Raw genomic sequence first — 25,707 nt, 5'->3', positions numbered from 1 at the left:
TTTGTATCCTTCAATGCAATCAAATTGACAGTATTACCCATCACAGGGTGCTATAAATAGTTCAGTGGGGACAATAGGCATACATAGATGTTGTTTTAGGCCATCCGAAAGGAATAGTTACCCTGGACAAAAATACAATGACTGAGAGGGTTAGCTTAGCTTAAGAGTTTTAATTCTTTTAAAAACAAGTAAACACACAGTAGAATTCAACTTTATGTGCACCATTATACATCATACTTATGCACAAAGAAGGCATAGAGAAGAAGATAATGAACAGTGGATGGGGTCATAGAAGGAGCAACTACTGAGTTGAGTTTTGATTGACAAATTAGAATCCCAGCTATTAATGAAGAAAAGGAAAGGCTTTCCAGAGCAAGGAAATAATATTGCAGTAGCGTGGAGGCAGAAAACATTACAATGAGTTGTAGGATTCATTCCTTTACTTAACAAATATTATTTAAATACCTATCGTGTGAAAGACACTGATTAAAGCACCAGGGATCAGAAGTTACCAATATAGTATAGGTACTTACATTCTATTAGAGGAAGATAGTCAGTTTTGGAAAAGTCGTTCATCCTTATTAATAACTGAGTAATGAAGATATTACTATTTCCTTTATTGCTATTTTTAAAATTTATCTTCAATTATAAAGACAGTAATATTAGAAGAATATATGATATCACATCTCTAATATATGTCTAAACAAGCTCTCTTCCATCATACAAAATTATTTTGGATAATAACCAAATGGTTATGTAATTCCAGGTATTACATTCCAGAAAGTGAAAGAAAGTATACATAAGATGTGAGAAGACCAGGGATGGCATTTTAGATGGGATGGTCAGGGTATCTGACCAACTTTAGACTGCATCCCCTCTCATACTGTTGCCATGTTCTGATCTTTTCATCATAATGACATGGAAAGTACAAAAAAAAATAATATTTAGATACTCCTAGTTTGCTTTATGTGCTCTGCCTAGAAGGGAGTCATTTCGACTTTCCACACAGTCCTAATTAGCAGAACTGGTATTCTTCACTCACATTTGGGAGCAGAAAACAGATTTTTTTATTTTTTGGTATCAAATGACAGATCATTTTTCTAGGAAAATTCCAGGTGATGGTTCTCTAGTCCAGAAAGTGGAAGGGATCCTCTGGCCTCTGATTAAAGTGTTTAAATGTCACTGTTTACATAGTCATAATGAATCGAATCAAGCCAGTGGCTTAATGCCACAGAAAACCCCTGTTAGATTCATCCGTCTGAGATGTTTACTTTCTTTCTCCTCCTTCCATCTCTTTCTTCCTTCATTTATTTTCCTTTCTTTCATCTTTAATTTTTTTTCTTTCTTTCTCTGTCTCCTTTTAATTTGGTAAATATATTGAAGAGATGAGCACACGACAACAGATTTAAGGAGAGGATTTACATGGATTATTATTCTACCTCGAGACAAAGGCAGTAATTTTTAAAAATAATTTTTGTACCTTTTTCTGTGTTAAATAAGGAAGGCCCAGTGATGTTAATTGGAAGAAGGACTATAATTTAATGTTTACATTCTCTTGAGAAGAAAAAAAATGGTATTGTGGCAGGAACTGGGAAGATCAGACTTCTTGTGAAGATTTTCTACACCATCCCCATAAAAATAGTTTCACGGCATTGTGAACTGATTGATGCTGCTGTTGTGACCCTGAGGTAGGGCCTGATAGGAGACAGAGCTGGAGAGACTGGCAAGAGTACGATCAAAAAGGGTCATGAATGGCAGTTGGAGGTGTTTGAATGCTATAAAAGAAGAGGAAAAAAAAGAAAAGGAAGAGAAATGATAAATTTGGGAATTGTGCATTCTTTTATCTGTAGCACCTTACACAATATCTGGCAAGAAATATCTTGATACAGTAGAATTTCTTATATTCAGATAACTATTCTGGGAAAAAAAAAGGGTATTGAAAGGTTTTAAATATGGCTGTCCTTAATCTAAGCTCTTTTTTCCCTAAACAATAAGATTTAGATTTTAACATCTCGTTTATGAAGTTGTACAGTCACTTCCCACAAATATCATTTGCTTAAATGCAGATGAGCAATTGTCTTTTTGGCTTAACTTTAACCCAGCAGTGCAAGTAATCTGACAGCTTAAGCAAGAATTACTAAGACCAAAAACCTTGAATTAGACTTGTATCTACATTGTTAATCTCATTTTTTGTTGACGCCAAATCATAGATATGACCATATAAAATTAAACCATCTATGCCTAATCGGAAACAGGTGCTCTTAGAGATGGTCTCTTCCAGCCCTGCTAAATAGATTATAAGTTTTAGTTTTTTCTGGGACTAGGAAAATAAACTATGCCTTTGTCTTAACTAGTGTGCTTCTTTTCTTCATATTTTCCTTTCCTTTTCTTCACTTTCAAATTCTATATCAATCTAATAGAAGGAAGTACCGCTTTAATTTTGTTATTGACTATATAAATAGACCTTCCCGTATGTTCGGTTTTTAAGTGTAAAGGAAAGCTTCATTAACTACTATCTCTATAATCACAGCAATAATAACATGACCATTCCACACTGCTTTATGTTTTTATTATTTTCTTTGCACATAAATAAACTGTTAAGAATTATAATACATCATGAACAGTAGTCCGTAAATTATAGTAATATACTGTACTTCTTTGACCTTTTCAATATTGTGTGATTTGGTTGGCTGGCCTCTCTATTTATAGCCCTGCTGAGTAGAGGGGAAGGCATGAATATCCTGCTACTAATGAAAATATCATATATTGAAAGAGTCAAATGATGATACTGTCTTGGTCTGGATGACTATATTTCACAAGATATACAGCATTAGGCATTGTAATTCTGAAAAATCATTCTCCTGACAAAGGTATAATGGGATTAGAAAATTGCCAAAATTAGTTAATTTACTGAAAAGGCTTGTACCCAGGCCAAAAAGAGCAAAAAGAGTGTGATGATTTTATTTTTTAACAGAATCTCATTACAGTTTAAAGTCACATTACTTGTAATTCTCTATCAACAGTTAAGATGATATGTTTAGTACTTACATCTGTAGGTAGCATGAAGAATAAGGGAGAATTTCCTTGTATAGCCTTAAAGAAAAACAATCCAGTACACTTTCTTTCATTGGAATATTGCCTTACTTTTCCCTTTGAAAACAAGCAATGTATTCTTTAGGTTTTATAACAAATGGTTCCAGTGACTGAGATAATGTTAAAAAAAATTATTATTCATACTATTGTCTTTTTGCTACATGCATATGCCAACACATGCCAGGTTGCCTGACTAAAGAATATATAATGTCACTTCACACTATTATGAGCTCTTCATTAAACAAGTCATTATTGTTGTTATCCAACTTGTTTCACAATATTCCTTTAGATTGCAGGAAAGGGAAGGAGGATATAAGCCAATTTATCCCAACAAAGAGAACCTCTTCTGTGTCAGTTTGTGTGACTCCTTTGTCATTATTTAGAAGTAACTTTTGCCCTGAGAATGTGTAGAAGAGAAGATGAGCTCTCTTGTAATCCTTGCTATTTTTTCATGATATATTAGTGCATGCAGGAGCAGTCCTAATTAGTACAATGACCTGGCTCATTTTGCTGGCATCCGAACTCTGCACCGAGACAGCAGTGCATTCTCTATAGCCCAAGCTTTTAGAAACATGGCTCTGCACACTTCCACTCTATTCTTAGTAGTTTTTTTAAAAAACTCACTGTAAATGAAGAGCTTGCACTTCAAGGAGACCTGCACCCTCCCCTTCTGTGAAGCAGCGGAGATCTACTCTGTTGTACAAGTTCGTTTTCGATTAGTGTCTTGGATTTACTCATTTGAAAAGCTTATGGGAAGCCATTATGTGTTAAAGGATTTTAGACAGGTTAGGTATGATTTATAACATAAGGTGGAATTAGACAGGTTTAGTTTGATTAAACAGCACATCTGTTGGGGTGGTGGAGGAGAGATTTATGAAGTAAAATCAAGTTAAAGGGAGAAAAATGAAATAGCTATGTGTAGTATGAAAGAGGGTAAACAAAACCTATGTGATTGAAGATACTTAATCATGTCTGTGAATATAGCTTTTTGAATTCCTAATATATGCTCAGGTACTTTCAAAACCTTGTCTCATCTCATCCTCAGAAAGATTCTCCAAGATAACCTGCTATTCCCATTTACAAAAGAGGAAAATGAGCTTCTGAGAAGTTGAATGGCTTATCTGAGGACAAACAGCTAGGCTGAAACAGAGCCACGAATCAAACCCAGATTGTTGGTATTGTGTGTTTTCCTGTCACTAAAGTCTATACTCTTCATTTCTCTATACTGTTCTGTGATTTGTTAGTCCATTTCTCTCAGACTGCTCACATGTGGCAGTGCCTTGAGTCTCACCTAAAGTGGTAAAGATATTTCAGTCTGCCCAGTGCAAATAAACAAGTTGAAATTCCTGCTTAAAGCATAGGTTGTCTACAACTTAATGAGACGCCCATAGGGCACCATATCAATCAAACAATATGTCTTTAGCACCGAATATCAGCGTGCTTCTTCCCTTAGTCTCCACACTCAGACACACATATAACAAACAAATCCCTATTGATGTTTATGCATATTATTTGTACCCTGTCTTGAACAAGAAAGGATTTCAGTTGGCTTCTCCATTGAAATTCTCTACTGTAAATACTAATACTTTCATTTGGATACAGGAGAACTGTTATCTTTACTATTTACCTGATTAAAAAAATATAACAGCACAGGCTTGCAAAAACTATGAGAGAGGAGAGATTGATATTTTCAGTCAGCAACGCATTCCTGACAATAAAGGTAATCACCCTGCCTTTCCTTAAGACTGATTCTTTACTGTTAAAAATTACAGTAAATATTCTTTTATCATAAAGTGCAGGACTCAAATCAGAAATACAACTGGACTAATCCAGATTAGCTGATTCTTTTATCTCTACTGCCAACATAGTACTCTATTGTTGAATATGAAAGGAAGTCGCAACCACTTTAAAAGAATTTATTGAATATCCAAATGATAATCGGATAGGATGCTTATGATTGAAGAGGTTTTGTCAAAATAGTGTTAGCTATCCAAGTTGAAAATTTTTTTAGGCCAGGCGTGGTTGCTTACGCCTGTAATCCCAGCACTTTGGGAGGCCAGGGCGGGTGGTTCATGAGGTCAGGAGTTCGAGACCAGCCTGGCCAACATAGTGAAACCCCATCTCTACTAAAAAAATACAAAAAATTTGCCAGGCATGGTGGCAGGCACCTGTAATCCCAGCTACTCAGGAGGCTGAGGCAGGACAATCACTTGAATCCGGGAGCGGGTGGTTGCAGTGAGCCGAGATTGCGCCATTGCGCTCCAGCCTGGGCAACAGTGTGAGACTTCATCTCAAAAAAAACAAAAAAACAAAAAAAACCAAAAAAAAACCTTTTTAATATGAGCGTGGCTCATGCCTGTAATCTTAGCACTTTGCAAGGCTGAGGTAGGAGAATTTCTTGAGGCTAGAAGTTCAAAACCAGCACGGGCAATATAATGAGACCCTGTCTATACAAAAACTTTAAAATTTTTTAAAAATCTTTTTTCAAAGAAAGCAAATACTGTAATGATTTTAATTGTTTGAAGTATTTAACTACAAGAAAAGAGAAATATAACATTATTTTTCTTTATTTCCCAAATCTCATTGATTTCTGTACATATCTAAGAGATTATGCAGATTTTTTGTTGTACAATTTCACAGAATCGGTTTTCTTTACGGTAAGTGGATTATTAACCAAACTTGACATAGTATTATATGAGGTAATTCCACTTGGTTGCAACATATTTAACCAGTGTATTAAGTTGGATCAAGTTACAGTAAATAACATCACATCGTATTGCAAAATCATTGTATTTATCTTTACATCAATGCATAGAACAATTATGTTTCAAATAGTCAGTTGTAAAATTTTAGCATTATATATTGGTGCTATTTTAAGCCTACATGGGGACAAGTAGCTGAAAAGAGTGTGTGGTTTGTGTCCTTAAATATTCTTATATGGAGAGGAAAAAGTAACAAGACTAAGAGAATATTTGCTACCTAAAGGCAAAGACCCAGTAGGCTGGGCAGACTGTTTAAACACCGTTATGTCTGCTGCGTGTGATACTTGGCTAAACCATTAAAGAAAATCTACAGCGTGTGAGTTCCCAGTTCTTTCTGCTGAGTGTTTCTATTGGAAGATATTCACCACCCAGGAGTTCCAAACACTGAATTATTCAATGGAACCTCAGGCAGCTCCTGCTTCAGTGGTGAGCATATAGAAAGTTATGTCTCCCTACACCTACCTGTGGGCTTCCTTGATTATGGGCTCTGCTTAGTAAGGAAAACAGCCCTACACATTTTACTTCTGCTGAAGCTTGGTAAAGAGATTGTATATAGTAAGTTGTTTTGCTGCTGCCATTTTAACTGATTTGGCATTTTCAGTGGTACCCACAAGCAGTATTAGAGATAAGTATCTATCAGTTCTGTGGTTAACTGATTCCTGTCAGAATCTATAACTTGACTACAGAAAAAGTCTCTTCAGGCTAAAATCTGATATTCAAAAATCTCAGTCTGAAGGAAGAGTAGAGGGGAAAAAAAGTGAATTCTTCATAGGCTGGTTGATTCTAGCCACACATTTGTCTAAAGCCACCCAAAATAATTTTTATGATTCTAATCTTTTATTTTAAATTAGGGAAATCAGAGGAACTCAATTTTCTGGCATATATATTTGATATGCAAAAAACAATTATTATGAATAAGTAGAGTTTAAAATGTGGCATTTGGCCTCTTTAATCAATTTCAGTATTTCATCTCAGATTCTTCAACCTCAAAGTCAACAGCTGGCAAGTTTATACGTCAACCAGTAATATTTAGGGGTTAAATAGTTTGAAAATAGTTTGATGCCTGTTTAAGTGTTTGGGTTTTAGTCTTGTCTTTAAGAAGTTTATATTCTATCCAGAGTGATAAAATGCATCACAAAATATAGAGCAAAGTAATCACAAGTTAATAATATGCTGTAAATTACCTCTCCTTTTCTCCCAGTTTTGGCTTTACTGTTTCTCCTTGGATTCTCACAATTCTACTGTTTTTTTTTTTCTCTCTTCTGGTTTCTTCAGAAACTTCTCTGCTCTCCTCCCTACTTCTAGAGATCCAAATGTCATCAAGTCTTGGAAAGAAAAAACAAGGTCATTCTAAGTAAATAAGATTATAAATAACAAGCCCCTAAAGAATGTCTAGCTTGTAGCCCATCTCTGTAAATGGTACGTATGTTTGTATTATTACTCTTATGATCACTTTAATTATTATACATAAAAATACTCGAGTTAGCAAGAAAGAGTTAGTGAATATTTTGATAATAATCAAACCAAAATTATTGAGCCTCTGCTATGGGAAAAAGTATCCTACTTATTTAGAATTTATGCTTTCTTAATTATGTTACACTTACCTGAAGACCCATTTTCATTTTTCTCACACCTGTACTCGTCAGGACATAAAGAACATTAGAAGCTCCATTTCCAGAGAATAGTCTGAAATTTGCTCCATTATTCTAATCCCATTCTCATTACTTGAAAGGGTGTGGAAAACTCACACTTACCAAAACACAACTTTCCTATTTCTTTTACTGGGATGTTTCTCTTTACCACTTAGGACTTCTTATCTTCATTAGATCTAGAGCTCTACCACTGACTCCTAATTGGAATCTCACCCAACTGTTGTCAACTCCTTCTCTATCCCTCATTTTCCTCATTTTGACTGGGCTGCTTCTTCTAAATAGTAGAAAAATATCCAAACAAATATTGCTACCTGTCTCACTTTTAATACCATGCAGCTAATATTATTCCCCTGTGTGATGGGATCTCTCGAATATGACCTCTGGTCTGTGTAAGCATGGTTTACCATGCTTATTTCAAACGTTTAATTAGGTAGTTGGCCATTCCATGATACTTGGTCCTACATCTAGATTGGTTATTTTAGCCAAGGTTTAAGCTTCCTTCCCTCCCTACCATCCTGGAACCAATCTTTGAATTTCCTTTGCTAACTGGCAGAGACAGATCTCTAGTGAGATTTGAAGCTTATAAAATATGAGAAAGGATCTTTTTGTTAAGACAGTAATACAAAATTATAAATTCAACATTAAATATATGGTCTTGAGAGAGCCCCGAGCAAATTAGGGGACTGACCTAAAGTTTAAGGATTATTTGCTTAATGATAAATATGCTTGTGCCTCTGAGAAGTAAAGAGGGCAATTAATGGCACCAACATATTTCATCCCGGAACAGTGTTGTAAACCAAATATATAGTTGATTCAGCCAAAATAGTTGTTAAATGTTTTTAGCTTGAAATAATTTTTGACTTACAGAAAAGGTGCAAAAATAATATAGTTTCTATATATCCTTCACCCAGCTTCCTCTAATGTTACTGTTACATAGCATGGTGCAATTATCAAAATTAAGTCAATATCAGCACAATGCTATTAACTAAACCTCTGACTTTATTATTTGGTTTTCATCAGTTTTTCCACTAATGTCTTTTTTCTGTTTCAGGAACCAATCTAAGATGGCAAAGAGCATTTCATTATGATGTCTTATTAGTCTCTTTCAAACTGTAATATTTGCATAGTCTTCCTTGTTTTTCATTACCTTGACACTTTTGAAGAATATTAGACAATTATTTTGTAGGCTGCCCATCACATGGAGTTTTCTGCTATTTTCTCATTATTAGATTGAGGATTTGCCATTTGTAGCAAGAATGCCACATAAGTAATATACTCTTCTTAGTGCATTATATTAAGAGGTACGTGATGTCAATTTGTTACTACCGGTGATGTTAATAATGATCTCTTGCTTAAGATAGATCTCTTCCTTCTGGGCTTTTCAGCAGTAGACTTACCATTTTTTTCTTTTTAATTTAGAAACTATCTGCAAATATTCTATTTCTTTTCAAACTTTTGCCCATAATTTTAACATTCATATGTTTTCCTTATTTCTTCTGCATTTATTAATTAAGATTCTTCTGTAAGACAGCAATAATTGCTAGAGGCAAGATCCACCATTTATTTATTTGTTTGATTGCATATTTATTACACAGTGGGCTCATGAATATTTATTTTATTCTGTGGGTTATAATCTAGTATTATCACTATTTATTTTTTTACTCAAACTGTTACAGCTTTAGCCATTGGGAGTTCTTTTAAGTGGGCTTCTATGTCAAAAGTAATTTTGTAATAACTAGTCTCTAGTGTTGTTCAAACATTTTGAAGAGAACACTTACTCAACTATCAAATTTCTAAAACTCTCTCTGTGTTCCCTCCTATTCAATGACCTTACACAAAGTAGCTGCTTCTATACCTAAATCCTCAAACCTGCCCCAATTCTTCCAGCCCTTTTACCAGTGTGCTTCCCATAGTCCTCTTTTCCTCCTCCTTTCTACCTGACTCTCCATTGCAAAAGCCCAGGAATAGTCCTTCATAGGAGAACCTTGGAAGGTATGAAGAACGGAGGATACAAGGGTGGCTAAGCATTCTCTTTAGCTGCCAAAACGGGAAGAAAGACTAATTTTTGCTCAGCTCATACCTACATACCCAGCCTTCCAATAAGTCCTTAGCATTATTTTATCCCTCACAACTTGCCTTATTCCTCATTTTAGAAATAAACTGAAATTAAGCGGTTTGTCCAAAGTAGCACTGCTAATAACAGGAAAATCAAGGATTAAAATAATTTCGACAGTACTCTATACAGTAATACGTCTCATAGAGTTGGGTAACACTATCTTAGCTATGTGGATTGTAAAGAATGACTATGACTGCAACAGATAGAAATCGGGGGGGGGGGAATTATAGGTGGGCCACAGCATGAATAACCACACGAAAATAAATGGAGTGACTATGAAAAAATCGTTACAATGTTCCAAATTTCAACATCATAAAACTTGTTCTTTTAGTAAGAGGTTTTGTGAGGATATACTTTTGGGCATAAAAGCACAAATAGAAAATCAAGAAAACCAATTTTTAACAGTATCTTTATGTTAGAGGAAAATTCCATGTGCTTTAAGTTCTAAGCCGAACTAAAAATTTGACATTTTCTGATTAAGATTGTTTTTTGATGTTTTGTCAGAGAGAGAGAAAGTTCTGGATTTTGGGGTTGGGTATGCCTAGCACTTCTTTGCAACAATCAGAAAAATTAAGCTCTTGATTTTTAAGACCCTCTCACTCCAAATTTTAGAAAATGATGGATCACATACCAATCCATTTCATTCCAAAGATGTAATTACAATTGTCCTTTCCTTAATTACTTTAGATAATCATGATTTATTTGAATATGTTGTGAATGTACAGTGATTTATGTTATTTATCATAGTGGTGTTTGAAGCTTAAAATATATAAATGCGTAATGTATGTTCACATTATTATAGTTCAAAATATTCAAATGTTTTATGCCCATTCTATGAACATGACTTGTAAAAAGAGGATAGTATTGACACTTATTTCCATAGGCTATCAACTTGGAAGGTTGAAATTGCTAAAGTTTCATCAGGCAACTATAAAAGTGCAGAGAATAATATTGCAGAAATGAAGGATAAAAATGATATGATGCTATGTTATATAAAACTCACAGAGGAAATGCTTAAGACACACAAAAAGGCACCATACTGTCTGCATAATACAATGCCTGTATGTCTCAGAACTCTGTTACAGATTCTTATGTGAAGGAAAATAGCCTCTGTCTTCTTTGGCTCCCTAGAATTTTTGCTTCTCCTTAGAAATACCTCATTCAGAGTATAAGACCTGATTTCAGAAGAAAGGGGGCACCTTAAGCTGGATTGGATCAATGAAGGATTTATAAGAAAAGTATTTAAAATGCATCTTTAATAATAAGATAAAGATTTGGATGTTCTGAAATGATGATGTGAAAGTAAAGAGCAGGGAAGATTTTCAGACAGAGGGAACAGCATAAACAAAGACTGGGAAAACATGGGGCATATTATAAAGAGTAGACAGCAGTGTAATGAGAAGTAAATTTAGGAAAGTAGAATCTGATTAGATTTCCAAACTAAAGAATTTGCATTTTACTCTATAAGAGGAGAAAAATAAACAGACACAGAAAAAGCTTTGATAAAATCCATTATCCCTTTATGATAAAACCACTCAAAAAACTAGGCATCAAGGGACTATTCCTCAATATATTAAGAGCCATCTATAGCATATCCACAGCCAACATCATACTGTACAGAAAACAGCTGCAAGCATTTCCCCTTGTGAATAGGAATGAGATAAGGAGCCCATTCTCACCACTCCTACTGAACAGAGTTCTGGAAGTCTTAGAGCAACCAGGCAAGAGAAGGAAATAAAAGTCATCCAAGTAGGGAAATAATAAGTTAAGTTATCTCTCTTTGTTATGATATGATTCTATACCTAGAAAACCCTAAAGACCCTCCAACAGGCTCCTAAAACTGATAAATAACTTCAGTAAAGTTTCAAGATACAAAATCAATGTACAGAAATCAATAGAATTTCTATATGCCAATCACAGTCATGCTGAGAGCCAAATCAAGAATACAATTCCATTTATAATAGCCACAAAAAATAAAATAATGTAATACCTAGGAATACATTTAACCAAGAAGGTGAAAGACCGCTACAAGCAGAACTATAAAACACTGCTGAAATAACTCATAAATAAAACAAACAAGTGGAAAAACTTCCATGCTCAGGGACTGGAAGAAAAAATATCATTGAAATGTCCATACTGTCCAAAGCAACCTACAGATTCAATGCTATTCCTATCAAACTACCAATATCAATTTTCACAGAATTAGAAAAAAAACTATCCTAAATTCATATGGAATGAAAAAAGAGTCCAAATAGCCAAAGCTATCCTAAGCAAAAAGAATAAAGCCAGAGGCATCACATTACCCAATTTCAAAATATACTATAAAGCTACAATAACAAAAACAGCATGGTAATAGAACAAAAACAGACACATAGCCAATGGAACAGAATGGAAAAAGTCAGAGGTGACATACCTACAGCCTTCTGATTGTTGATAAAGCCAACAAAAATAAGCAATGGGGAAATGACTCCATATTCAATAAATGGTGCTGGGACAGCTGGCTAGCTAAATGCAGAAGAATAAAACTAGATCTCTACCTTTCACCATATACAAAAATTAACTCAAGATGAATTAAAGATTTACATGTAAGACCTCAAACTGTAAGAATCCTAGAAGAAAACCTAAGAAGCACTATTCTGGGCATTGGCCTTAGGAAAAAAATTATGGTTAAGTCCTTAAAAGCAATAGCAACAAAAACAAAAATTGTTAACTGGGACCTAATTAAGCTAAAGAGATTCTGCACAGCAAGAAAAATAATCAACAGAGTACAGAGGCAACCTATAGAAGGGGAAAACATATTCACAAACTGTGCATCCAACAAAGGTATAGTATCTAGAATCTTTAAGAAACTTAATAAGCCAAAAACAAGTAAACCCTTTAAATAGTGGGGAAAAGACATGAACAGACACTTGTCAAAAGAAGAGACACATGCAGCCAACAAACGTAAGAAAAAAAGCTCAGCATCACTAATCACCATAGAAACGCAAATTAAAATCACATGAGATACCATCTCACACCAGTCAGAATGGCTATGATTAAAAAGTCAAAAAGTAACAGATGTTGGCAAGGATGCAGAGAAAAGGGAATGCTTGTTCTCTGCTGGTGAGAAAGTAAATTTGTTCAACTCCTATGGAAAACAGTGTGGAGATTTCTCAAAGAACAAAACATAGAACTACCATTCAAACCAGCAATCCCACTACTGAGCATCTCTCCAAAGGAAAATAAATAGTTTTATCAAAAAGATACCTGCACTCATATGTTTATCAGCACTATTCACAATAGCAAAGTCATGGAATCAAGTGTTCATCAACAGTGGATTGGATAAAGAAAATGTGGTATATGTTCACCATGGAATACTACACAGCCATAAAAAATGAAATCATGTCCTTTGCACAACATGGATGCAGCTGGAAGCCGTAATCCTAAGTGAAGTAACACAGAAACAGAAAATCAAATGCTGAATATTCTCACTTATAAGTGGGAGCTAAACAATGAGTACAGATGGATATAAAGATGAAAATAATAGACACTGGCTACTGCAAAAGGGGGTTAGAAGGTGGAGGGAAGTGTTGAAAAACTACCTATTGTGTTCTACATTCATATATGAGTGATGGGTTCACTAGAAACCCAAACCCCACCATTATGCAATGTGCCCATGTATCAATCCTACACATATACCTCCTGAGTCTAAAATAAAAAATGAAGTTATTAAAAACCTATATTTTACAAGTAGATAACAATCAATTATTTATTAAGGGGATATATAAAATTGGCTTTTATATACAAGCCACATTGATGTTTTTATTCTGAATCTCTGACACATGATACTTATTGTCTATATTATTTGTTTCCCATTTTAGCATGTATTTAGATGTTATATTTCACTGAAATTTTAATTGTAATTTTGTTTTAATTTCACTTTCATATTGTATATCTTATTCCTACTATTACCTTGTAAAGTCATTCATTCAGGATATGAAAGAAATATCATCTTTATACTTTTAATTTTCTCAACGTACCTATAATAATTAGCTATAGTAGAAAGATTAATAGGTGCTGATTTTTTATTGATAGATTTAACCAAAGATTGGGTCAATATTGAAGCCTAAGGAATTTCCAGTGAAGTAGGCATAGCAGCAGCTATGGGAATGTTCCCATACATTGCCAATGTTGACATTTGTAAAAGCAGTTTTATTTCAAAGGGAATCTTCATTCTCTTTATTGAAAGATAATTCTTGAGGGAAACTTGAAAAATTATATTTTTCCTTTTGAGTCTAATCATCTGGATTAGAGTGATGACTCATGACAGACAGGTCAAATGGAAGGCTAACATATTGAAAATCAGAGTCATCTTAGATTTCTGCAGGAAGAATAGTAGATATCTGGATCAAACTCATTCATGATAAGAAGATGAAATGTAATATTAATGCAGGTATGTTCCTACTAAACTCTTCTTATGTACCCACATTCCTTTTAAAATATATATAGATAGATAATTCTACCTTCCTATCTCCTGTGGCTCTAGAGATATAAAATAACATAGATGTTATGTTTTACATAAGGAAACTTTATTAAACCACTTGGTTTGAAATAGCTATGTGGTAAATTTCCTTGGATACACAACAATGGTCTCAAATATCACCTATCTATCCATCCATCCGGATAGATTCCTTTCTTTGAAGAAGGAAGGCAACTGTCTATCATTGCTCCCTCTTTCCTGTAAGTAGGAGTCATTGAATAGCACTAACACAAGCATCTGCCCCACAAATCAGTTATTTTTGTCATTTACCATCATCACTAACCTCCAAAACATTGCAGGACATATCGTTGGCTTCTGCTTAAATATTAAACAAATTAAACAAATATTAAGCATTGCATAAGCAAAACTGTTTTCTTACAGATCTAGAACAAAAAAGCCTATATATCAAGAATTTGCCATTTAAAAAATATGGGTGAGGTACTACTGAATTTATTTATACAAGTCAACTTTTAATCTTTGTAAAGAGCTTTCAAAGAAACAGATAAAAAGTTATATATGCAAATCACTTTGATATAAAGAAGAACATGTTGATATGAGTAGGACATAGGATTAGAAATGATAATAAATGCTATAACATTTCAAATAAGGAAAGTATCAACTCTAGTTTGGCTAATCAAACAAGAAACCCTAGAAAAAGAAGTTGAGCTGCGTATCAAAGCCTGGTAGCATTTAGAAGTTAAATATTAGGAGATGGGGAACTAGAGGCTGAGAAAATAACAGGGCCAAGTCACAGATATAGAAAAATCTAAGGGAATTTGGAGTCTTGAAAAAGCTAGGCCTAAATTCTGCTGAATTCCAAGCATTAATAGATTTTCATGTCGAATGATTATTTTGAGTGTTCACTGTAACTGGTACCACACTCTGTAATTCAGTTTAGAAACTTCTTGCTTACAGCCTTGCTCACTGATTCGTGTGTGTGTTATTGGCTGGCCTCACCAGCTTGATATCCTATTCCATCCCTTTCGTCTTTTACTTTGAGCCCTGTTTCTGAGGACTTACAATCTTAAAACATTTATCCTTGAACTTCTTATGTTTACTGTCCTACTGCTCTGTGGCAACCTCACTGGCATGATGAAATGGCACATGCCATGTTCAAAGAACACTAAATTGATTATTGAGAAGAGAACATGTCTGTGGTCAAATCGTGGGAAGCAAGATTGAAAACGGAAAATAGTAGAGGAGACTGAGTCAGACGGATTTTATTCAATGGGTCAATATTACCTCAATTTTTTTGGCCATGCTTTTCTACTGTTTTGTACTTAGTCATTCTTTAAATTGGCTCATTAAAAAAATGTTGTAGTCATCTTGTGCAATATTAGCCATAAAATCATTGTTTAAGGTGATGATTAAACTTCTTATGAACAAAATACTTAACTATTAAAACCAATTACTTTTTTCCATTGTAACCAGTGTTACGTGTCCCGTTTTTTGGTAAATGCTGTTATAAATTAATGGGCAGCTATTGAAGCTTTAGTCAGATAATTTTAGCAAGATTTACTCTGTGGTAGTATATAAGAAGATGAGAGGTGAGAAAATAGCAGTTTAAGGTAAATATATAGTTATGAGTTAATAAAAACCCATATTAAAGTCTTCACTAAAGGAGTAAATAAACAATGTGAGAGGAAATAAATGGGTCTTACTGATAATTTAAAGTAGTTGGCAAATGTAAAATGATGCTCAACGTTGAGTCTGGGTGCCTAAGGAAAATGATGGTAAATAGATGTTGACGTGGGTGTCAGTTGCCAGTGATGACAGCTGTAACCATAGGAGTAGCTGAGGTGTCTAAGGGGAAGTATGTAGAAAGGAAATAGCAGAGGATTGAAGAGACAATCTTGAGGGGATTTATATTTGTTCTGTGAAAGAAGGAACAAGAGGCAGCAATGGCAGTGAAGAAGGAATGATCAACTGTGTAAGGAAGGAATTGGTATAGTGTGTTTATATGCACATTGAGAAAGAATACAATTTAAAAATGACGTGGTGGCTGAAAATAGATCAAGTTATATTTTGTCGACATTTGACAGTGGCCAAAATGTTTTTTAAATTGGGCATCAAGGGAAGAAGTAAGGGATCTGGTGAGAACAGAAAGACCTGATCAAGCACAGAATCTAAAAATCTTGGTAACAGGCAGTTTGTGATAAGGGTATCTGACTGCAGATGACCTGATAAAGGGACTGAGGTTCAGATGTAGGGGAATAGACAAGTGGAACAAGAAAAAGCTTGGCTTCAGTTGAGGAGGACATGGGGTCATGGAAATGTCATAAGGGCAAGGATACTATCATGCTAGGAGTAAAATTGAGATTCAGTAACCAATATTAGTTTTCCAACATGACTAGGACCAAAAAAAGACAAAAACCTATAAAATACATATCTTGTCAGTTTGATCATGTGGTTGAATGGAAACTAGGCTGTCAGTGAGATTTTGAAATATAGTGAATTTTGACTTTAAAAGCAAACTGCTTTTAAATTCTCCAATCACTGAGTATTGGTTGTGCCTGGTTATAAGGAGTCAGTTACAGACGCACAGTGACAAGGAGATTTTATAGAGTGCCAAAGCCATGCTGAATTTATTTCTTCTAATTGTGTTCCACATTCCCCTTTTATGAGCATTCCCATATAAAATGGTGCATAATATTTAATGAATACAGGCCTATAAGATCTCCTGAATTTAAATTCTAAGTAGGCACATGAATAGAGTTCAATAAAATTATTTTATTGGTGTAAAGGAATGCACCCACAGATGCTTTCCTACTTCTTTGCAGTTTAATTTTTTTTTTAATACAGAATCTGCTATGGTAACAGAGTAATTAATGTTGCCTGTCTCACAAGCAAAGTCTACTCACCAAATTTACAGCTAAAAATGCAGCTCTAGTCAATTCTTACTGTGTCTTAACATCATGTTTTTCGTCCCTATCTCATTATTTTATTAATTAAGTAAGATTTGCTATTTACTGGCTTGCAATTCAAAGAGCTCACAGAACTTCCCTAGTTCAAAATTCAAAGGCTTTGTACTACTTTTATATTGAAAAAGAATCAATTTAGTTTAGTAAGAGATTATGTGCAGAGTAATGGTCTAATCAGAGACCTAAGGGCTTTGAAATATTAAGTTACATTTCTATTTCAAGTTAGTCTTCTTATCATCTTTTCCCCCATTAAACTGGGATGAGAGTAGAGAATGCCTTTTATAAAGGATTTAAATGGAAAGAGATGATCTCCAAGAAAGTCAGTGGTTGATAAATAGCATTTGTGCAGATGTGTTAACTAACAAGTAAAAGTCCGTTAGTGTATTTTAATAATACATATTCAATTATAACTCACCTGGGCCACAACATCTAGTCACTAAATGACAACAGCAATATGTGTACTTTCTCCTTTAACAAATATCACACATGCCCTCTTCAACTGCTTTGTTCAAGCAATACCAAGTGGTCATGTGTCAGAGCTTGTTTTTAAGTCCCCTTAAGTTCTTTATCATTCATTCTGGGGTCCAGGCTACCCGACCTTATCTGACCTTCAATTTTTCTCCCAAGAGCTCTTGCCTGGACTTAAAATTTTAATTTATTTCACCCACTGAAGCCCATGTTCAGTGCTGTGAATCAAGGGTCAAATTTTAAGTACAGTATCTACTGAAGATATAGAAGTAAAATGGAAATAAATGCTCCTTGAAACTACAAGTTACAGTCTTTTGAGTATTTCATGAAAAAAGCCATTTTCTATATCATTCGCATTTAGCTAAAAGCATTTTGCTTAAATGCCTGAAAGTGTCTTGGGTGAAGTGAAATGAAAATCTTCTCTGAAACACTATTGATATAAAACTAGCAATAAAATCAATTCTCCTTTAGCTGGTTGATCCATCAGATCAGTTGAGCACACAACATGACACACGGAAGTACAGCCATCTTGCCCCATCAGAGAAGAGGTGTTTTTTAGCAAGGAGAACTGCTATATAAACTTAGAGTTGGAATCAACCTTGTATAGCCTAGCAAGCCTGATTAGAACTTCTCGCTAGATGTTATATGATGATTAGTTAGTTGCATCACAGACATCTCTAAGTGGGACTAATGCAGATGAAAAGTTGAAAACTTGTAAATTTTTTGTCTGTTTCTCTTTGTGTATCTCTGCAGGCTTGCTATTCCATCTAATATCCTTTCTTTGCCAGCTGTTTTCGATGATGGAAAAATGGAAACTATTTCTTGTTGTAACCTAATAATATTCATAGTAGGGAATAAAGACAGTGTCTGCTTCTTTGGACCTGTTAGGAAGATCACATTCCATCCCTTTTGTTATTCAAAATGAGTGTAGGTACTTCTTCTTGCCTCATCCATTGCTCTATTTCTCATTAGTTACTTCTTTCCCACATTTGTTTAGTTTCTAATATTTTTCCTCTTTTCTTCTGTGATATACCTAATTTTTACACCCAAAGTCAGACTTGATGTCTCCAGGTTTTCACTTGAACTGTCTGTGGCTGTAGTTTGTGTTCACCCTTCTCTTTAAGCAACTCAGACACACAAGACTAAACCTCCTTTTGAAAACTGCTTAGCTGAAATTCCAACTGAGGCACTCCAGCCCTCCTTTAAAGTAGGGAGTCAGCAAACTACAGCCTGTGAGCCAAAAGTGGGCAAGGCCTGTTTTCGTAAATAAACGTTTTGTTGAGATACAGCCATGCGTATTCATTTACATATTATTCATTGCTGATTTCATGCTACAGTGACAGACTTAAGCAGTTGCAACAGAGACCATATGGCCTGAAAAACCTTTTTACAAAAAAAAAAAAAAAAAAAATGCCCCAACTCTTGCTCCTAGAGAGTTTGGACAAGGAGGCACAGAGCTGACTTTTATTTTTTTCTCTCTCAATCTAGGGAGTTTATGTCTTGTCTCCTCTAATAAACATTCCCAGGCCAAAAATGAGCTCCATTTTTTCTTAAAATAATTGTTAGATAATTCATATAGCTCTATGTCATAATTCTATTCCCGGTGTATTGGACTTACATATGTTAGACTTCTAGCTAGATTATTTTTGCTCAATTATTGAGAAAGTATTCATCATGTTAATAAGAAAAACTAAGATCTCAGGATTCCCTATTTAATAAATGGTGCTGGGAAAACTGGCTAGCCATATGTAGAAAGCTGTAACTGGATCCCTTCCTTACACCTTATACAAAAATTAATTCAAGATGGATTAAAGACTTAAACGTTAGACCTAAAACCATAAAAACCCTAGAAGAAAACCTAGGCATTACCATTCAGGACATAGGCATGGGCAAGGACTTCATGACTAAAACACCAAAAGCAATGGCAACAAAAGCCAAAATTGACAAATGGGATCTAATTAAACTAAAGAGCTTCTGCACAGCAAAAGAAACTACCATCAGAGTGAACGGGCAACCTACAAAATGGGAGAAAATTTTTGCAACCTACTCATCTGACAAAGGGCTAATATCCAGAATCTACAATGAACTCAAACAAATTTACAAGAAAAAAACAAACAACCCCATCAAAAAGTGGGCGAAGGACATGAACAGACACTTCTCAAAAGAAGACATTTATGCAGCCAAAAAACACATGAAAAAATGCTCATCATCACTGGCCATCAGAGAAATGCAAATCAAAACCACAATGAGATACCATCTCACACCAGTTAGAATGGCGATCATTAAAAAGTCAGGAAACAACAGGTGCTGGAGAGGATGTGGAGAAATAGGAACACTTTTACACTGTTGGTGGGACTGTAAACTAGTTCCACCATTGTGGAAGTCAGTGTGGCGATTCCTCAGGGATCTAGAACTGGAAATACCATTTGACCCAGCCATCCCATTACTGGGTATATACCCAAAGGACTATAAATCATGCTGCTATAAAGACACATGCACACGTATGTTTATTGCGGCATTATTCACAATAGCAAAGACTTGGAACCAACCCAAATGTCCAACAATGATAGACTGGATTAAGAAAATGTGGCACATATACACCATGGAATACTATGCAGCCATAAAAAATGATGAGTTCATGTCCTTTGTAGGGACATGGATGAAATTGGAAATCATCATTCTCAGTAAACTATCGCAAGAACAAAAAACCAAACACCGCGTATTCTCACTCATAGGTGGGAATTGAACAATGAGATCACATGGACACAGGAAGGGGAATATCACACTCTGGGGACTGTTGTGGGGTGGGGGGAGGGGGGAGGGATAGCATTGGGAGATATACCTAATGCTAGATGACGAGTTAGTGGGTGCAGCGCACCAGCATGGCACATGTGTACATATGTAACTAACCTGCACAATGTGCACATGTACCCTAAAACTTAAAGTATAATAAAAAATAAAATAAAATAAAAAAAAAAAAGAAAAACTAAGATCTCACTTCTCAACTGACTTATAGTGAATTGAATGTAAGCTAATTCTTTTTTTTATCAGGAGTTTTGATGGAAAATTTCATATTTCTTTTTCTTTTTAAAAATGTGAGCAGAAGACAACCTGGGCCTGCATTTCTAATTATGACAATTGACTGGTACTGAGTAGCTGCTGTCCCCTGGAGCTAGGCCTGTGTCCTCCACCAGGCCCTGGTCATCAGCACTCATAGCACATACACATATGCCCTTACCCCTCTGGCCCACTCATTGCTCCTGTGGGCAGCTAAGTGTGTAACTGCTCAATGGGTTCATCTTTCCCACTGCCTAGAAAGAGCCAATTTAACAAGACGAGAATTGCAATGGCGAAAGAGTAATTCATGAAGAGCCAACTGTGTGGGAGACTGGAGTTTTATTATTAATCAAATCAGCTCCCCAAGCATTCTGGAATTAAAGTTTTTAAAGATAATTTGGCAGATAGTGGCGTAGGAACTGAGGAGTACTGATTGGTCAGGTTTGAGATGGAATCATCGGGGGTTGCAATGAGGTTTTCTTGCTGTCATCTGTTTCCTGGGTAGGATGGAAGAATTAGTTGAGCCAGATTACTGGTGTCAGCTGCAGGGTTTGCAAAATGTCTCAAGCACTGATAATAAGTTTTACGATAGTGATGTTATCCCCAGGAACAATTTGGGGAGGTCCAGACTCTTGGAGCCAGAGGCTGCATGACCCTGAAATTGTAATTTCTAATTTGGTAGCTAATTTGTTAGTCTGACAAACGCAAACTGGACCCCAGGCAAGAAGGGGGTCTTTTCGGGAAAGGTCTATTATCAGTTTTGTTTCAGAGTCAAAACATGAGCTGCGTTCCTTCCCAGAGTTAGTTCAGCCTATGCCCAGGAATGGACAAAGACAGCTTAAGGGTTAGAAGCAAGATAGAGTTGGTTAGATCTGATTTCTTTCACTGTCATAATTTCCTCAGTTATAATTTTGCAAAGGCACTTTCAAGTGTGGGATGATCTCTCTAGATTTCAGCACTTCCTGAACAGGTGTAGAGCCACAATTGCCAGGACTATTGTTCTAAATGGATATTTTAAGGCAATCCTGAGCCTTATTTTTCTTTTTCTTTTTGAGGTCACAAATAAGCTTAATATGCAGCTTCCAATCAACCCAAGACACTATAAAGAAGATGCTTACCAAAGCCAGACCCCTGAAATATCAGACATATCTCTAAAAGCCTTTCATTCTAATGAGAGAAAGAAAAAATAGGAACCACTAAAGCCATACCAGTAAAGATGTGTTTTATTAGCAGGATTGAATGGAAAATGGGAATGTATGAACATAAGTACTTATGGATGCAAAAGTTTTAGAAAGCCTAGAAAGAATAAGAGCACTTGTGCTGCCTGAGGCATCCCAAGATAAAGTACGCTCATCATTTTGAGTAAGAAAAATATCATCCAGGGAATCAGTAGAGTTTATCTGATCCTTGTTTCATGGGAACAGTTCTGTGATCTCCAAAATGGTCTCTGCCTTTTTCATTTGGTAGGCTCACATCATTCCTTCCACACTTGCCAGCTCATCCATGTGTTTCTTGCATTGGTTTGACTTAAGTAGGAATTGGGAGGATTGAGAGAAAGGTCAACCCTTTTCCCTGCTTTGAATAAATAAGCTTTGTAAAACTGACAAAGGAAGGCAAGAGATTAGGCACAGGAAGAACTAGGAGGAATCAGAGATTTTTTTAAAAAAAAAAAGCAAGAAAGAATGCTTCTCACTCAGCTTCAATAATGAATGTCCGTGTTCTTTAACTGATTGGCAATAATGCCAAATCAAATTCTCTCCTTCTCTTTCACACATATACACCACACACACACACACTCTCTCTCTCTCTCACTCTTTTCTAAGAGCAGAACAGAGCTAAATACAGAAGAAAAAGAGAACCCAGCCCTCAATGATAAATAATTTAAGGATTTGTCATTATCTTGCTTGAAATCAGAAGAGAGGAAGAAGAATACATAGAATGCCTATTTTTAACAGTATTTTGTCTACTTTTCAGGTTAAACATTTTCCCTTGTTCATCAAATGATGCTAATATATCTTTACTGTGTTAGGATATATAGTCATCCTCCAATATGGAGAAATCCACTGTCCTATGAGTCTCAAAAGGTAAGAATTTGTCCTTTTAAAAATAAAAATATCTTGTCTGCTTCTGCTCTTATGTAATGTTCTTAGCATCTGTATATAGAACTAAGCTTTTCAAAACCTTTTATTTTATAATTATACTGTGCAATCATGTATATTTCATGCTGCACAAGTATCCTAGAATAAAGAATGAAATGCTATGTGAGGAAATCTATGTTATGAAATGTTATGAGTGAAATAATTAGATCTAGATAAGACCTACATGAAAAAATTGCTCATATTCTTTCTGCTTCTACGTTTGTCCTTAAATATGCCCCACAAGACCTAACCACAGAACAGTAACATGACTAAGGGAAGAGAATGGAACTGAGACATGCCCTGGGTTATTCTAATATTTGAAATTGATCTCTGGAGGAGAAATTGCATAAGACACTGTTGTAAGGAGGAAAACTGTGTGGTTTTGGAAGACAAGAAAATGTCTCAAATGTTTCAAGAAAGAAGAGTGTTATACTTTCTTTGAATGGTGCTGAAAGATTGGATAAGGACATGGATGTGACAGGATGTGGATTGCTATGGGCCACGGTAAAAGCAGCATCACTGAAATGGTTGGCTTATAAACCCTGCTGGATGGATTAATAAGAGAAAGGGATGTGAAGGAGTAGAAACATCTAGTGCAAAAACTTCTTCAACAATATTTTTAGGCTTTCTTCCAGGATTTTTATAGTTTTAGGTTCTACATTTTAGTATTTAATCCATCTTGAGTTGATTTTTGAATATGGTGTGAGAAAATAAAGAGCTTCTGCACAGCAAAAGAAACCATCAACAGAGTAAATGGACAACTTACAGAATGGGAGAAAATTTTTGCAAATCACACATCTGACAAAGCACTAGTATCCAGAATCTATAAGGAACTTAAACAAATTTACAAGCAAAAAACAACCCCATTAGAAAGTAGGCAAAAGACATGAACAGACACTTTTCAAAAGAAGACATACGTACACACAAAAAGCTCATGAAAAAATTCTAAACATCACTAATCATTAGAAATGCAAATCAAAATTACAATGAGATACCCTCTCCCACCAGTCAGAATGGCTATTACTAAAAAGTCAAAGAATAAAAGACGCTGGCAAGGCTGCAGAGAAAAGGGAATGTTTATACACTGCAGGTGGAAATTAGTTATCTAATTTATTTGAATTAGTTCAGCCATTGTGGAAAGCAGTTTGGTGATTTGTCAAAGAATATAAAACAGAATTAACATGGAACCCAGCAATCCCATTATTGTGTATATACCCCAAGGAATATAAATCATTCTACCATAAAGGCACATGCATATGTATGTCAATTGTAGCATGATTCACAAAGAAAACACATGGAATTAGCCTACATGCCCATCAATGGTAGACTAAATAAAGAAAATGTGCCACATATGCACCATGGAATATTACACAGCCATAAAAAGAATGAGATCATGTCCTTTACAGCAACATGGATACAGCTAGTTCCATTATTGTAAGTGAACTAATGCAGGAAAAGTAAAGCAAATAATGCATGTTCTTACTTATAAGGGGAAGCTAAACACTGAGTTCACAGGAACACAAGGGAATGATAGAAACCAAGTTCTACTTGAAGGTGGAGGGTAGGAGTAGGATGAGGATTGAAAAACTATCTATGAGTGACTACGCTTACTACCTGGTGATGAAATAATCTGTATTCCAAACCTTTGTGATACACAACTTAGCTGTATAACAAACCTATACATGTACCACTGAAACTAAAATAAAAGTAAAAAAAAATAGATTTTGTTGTGAAGGAGAGCAGGGACATGGGACATAGAATGAGAGCAAAAAATGTTAAGGAATTCTCTCTTCGTTAGGAAGTTACAGGAGCAATTTTGTATACTGAAGGGCATGAACCATTAAAGAGAAATAAATTAATAATGCAACAAATTAGAGGTGATAACTGAATAAAATAGTTCTTATAAAGACAGATAAGGGTGGAATCCAGGACAAAAGTAAAGGAGTTGCTCTTTAAAGAAGGACTAGAGAACTGTTGTAATTGGAGGTAAGTCAGAGAGAATGGTTGTAGATCCAAGTCATTTGAGAGATTTGACAATTATTTGGTTGCTTTTATTTTTCTTCCAGTGATTCAAGGAGCAAGCTAAGGAGGTCTTGGGCATTTGGAGAGAGATGAAGAAATGTAAAATAATGATTTTGAAGAGGAGTACTTTTGGGTAGACTTGAGGGGTAATTTGAAACTAGCGGTCATGAATGTAAAGGTAGACCAATTATTAATTCTATTACCTTGAATTTGGGCTGCAGACACCAATTGGGTTGGTAATAGATTTAATCAGATTTAGGAATTCATTTTAAGGACATCTTTTTTAATTGTCTTTTCTAGATAGAGTTATTTGTTGTCTGAAAATCTAGTTTCATGAAAACTCAAGACAATGATACCCATAGGAAGGAAGATGGAAAAGAAGAATTAACCCAGATGTGAGTTAGGGTAGTTACGTTCACAGAGGACGTTGCTATTGAACATTCAGGTGGAAACATTAGGAAAAGGGTGGATCCTAGTCAGGCTTTTACACATTCTATCACCATGTGTATACAGACACTGTGTCTCTTACTTGGTTTTAAAATAATAGAAAACATACAAGTCCATTTCCCATGAGTGGAAGTTAGCAGAAGTAATAAAATTAATGTGATTAAAGTTCAAAGATGAGGTGAAGGGTGCAGTTCTTTCAGGCTATGGCAAGTCTTGGCTCAGGCTTTTAGATAGACTCTCTTCGGTCAGGCTTCAGAAGCAGCCTCTGAAAAAAGAATTTATATGTAAGTGACTTCTTAAAGAAAATGCTTTTTAAATATCTGTATAGTATTCCACTCTGTGAATAAAGCAATTCATTCTTTTTTTGGATTCTGAAGTAATCTCTAAACAGAAGGAATAAAGGGCTAAGCCAAAGAGTAGACAATAAGTGATTGGTACCAGCCTGTTCATACATGCCTTCATTTAGGTACTTCAGATTGTTTCATGAGTTATTTGTCCCTCAACAATTTCAG

General features: G+C 35.2%; 1 protein-coding gene across 2 annotated transcripts in view; it reads right to left on the bottom strand.

Annotated features, from left to right (window-relative positions):
• Positions 1-208: 208 nt before the first annotated feature.
• LOC124906005 (uncharacterized) overlaps positions 209-25,707 on the bottom strand; it is a 95,669-nt gene continuing 70,170 nt past the window's right edge. For both annotated transcript variants that reach the window (XR_007086317.1, XM_047446571.1), the window contains 2 exons: positions 7,040-7,180; positions 209-1,775 (listed from right to left, as the gene is read on the bottom strand). Coding sequence is in view for 1 of the 2 variants with exons in the window: in XM_047446571.1 (XP_047302527.1) it covers positions 1,736-1,775; positions 7,040-7,180 (181 nt within the window). In the remaining variant the exon portion in view is untranslated. The remainder of the gene's footprint in view (positions 1,776-7,039; positions 7,181-25,707) is intronic.

The sequence above is a fragment of the Homo sapiens genome, chromosome 2, assembly GCF_000001405.40.
Source record: "Homo sapiens chromosome 2, GRCh38.p14 Primary Assembly".
NCBI classification, from domain to species: domain Eukaryota; kingdom Metazoa; phylum Chordata; class Mammalia; order Primates; family Hominidae; genus Homo; species Homo sapiens.
The sequence above is the reverse complement of the archived record's forward strand: the minus strand, read 5'-3'. Positions and strand labels throughout refer to the sequence as shown.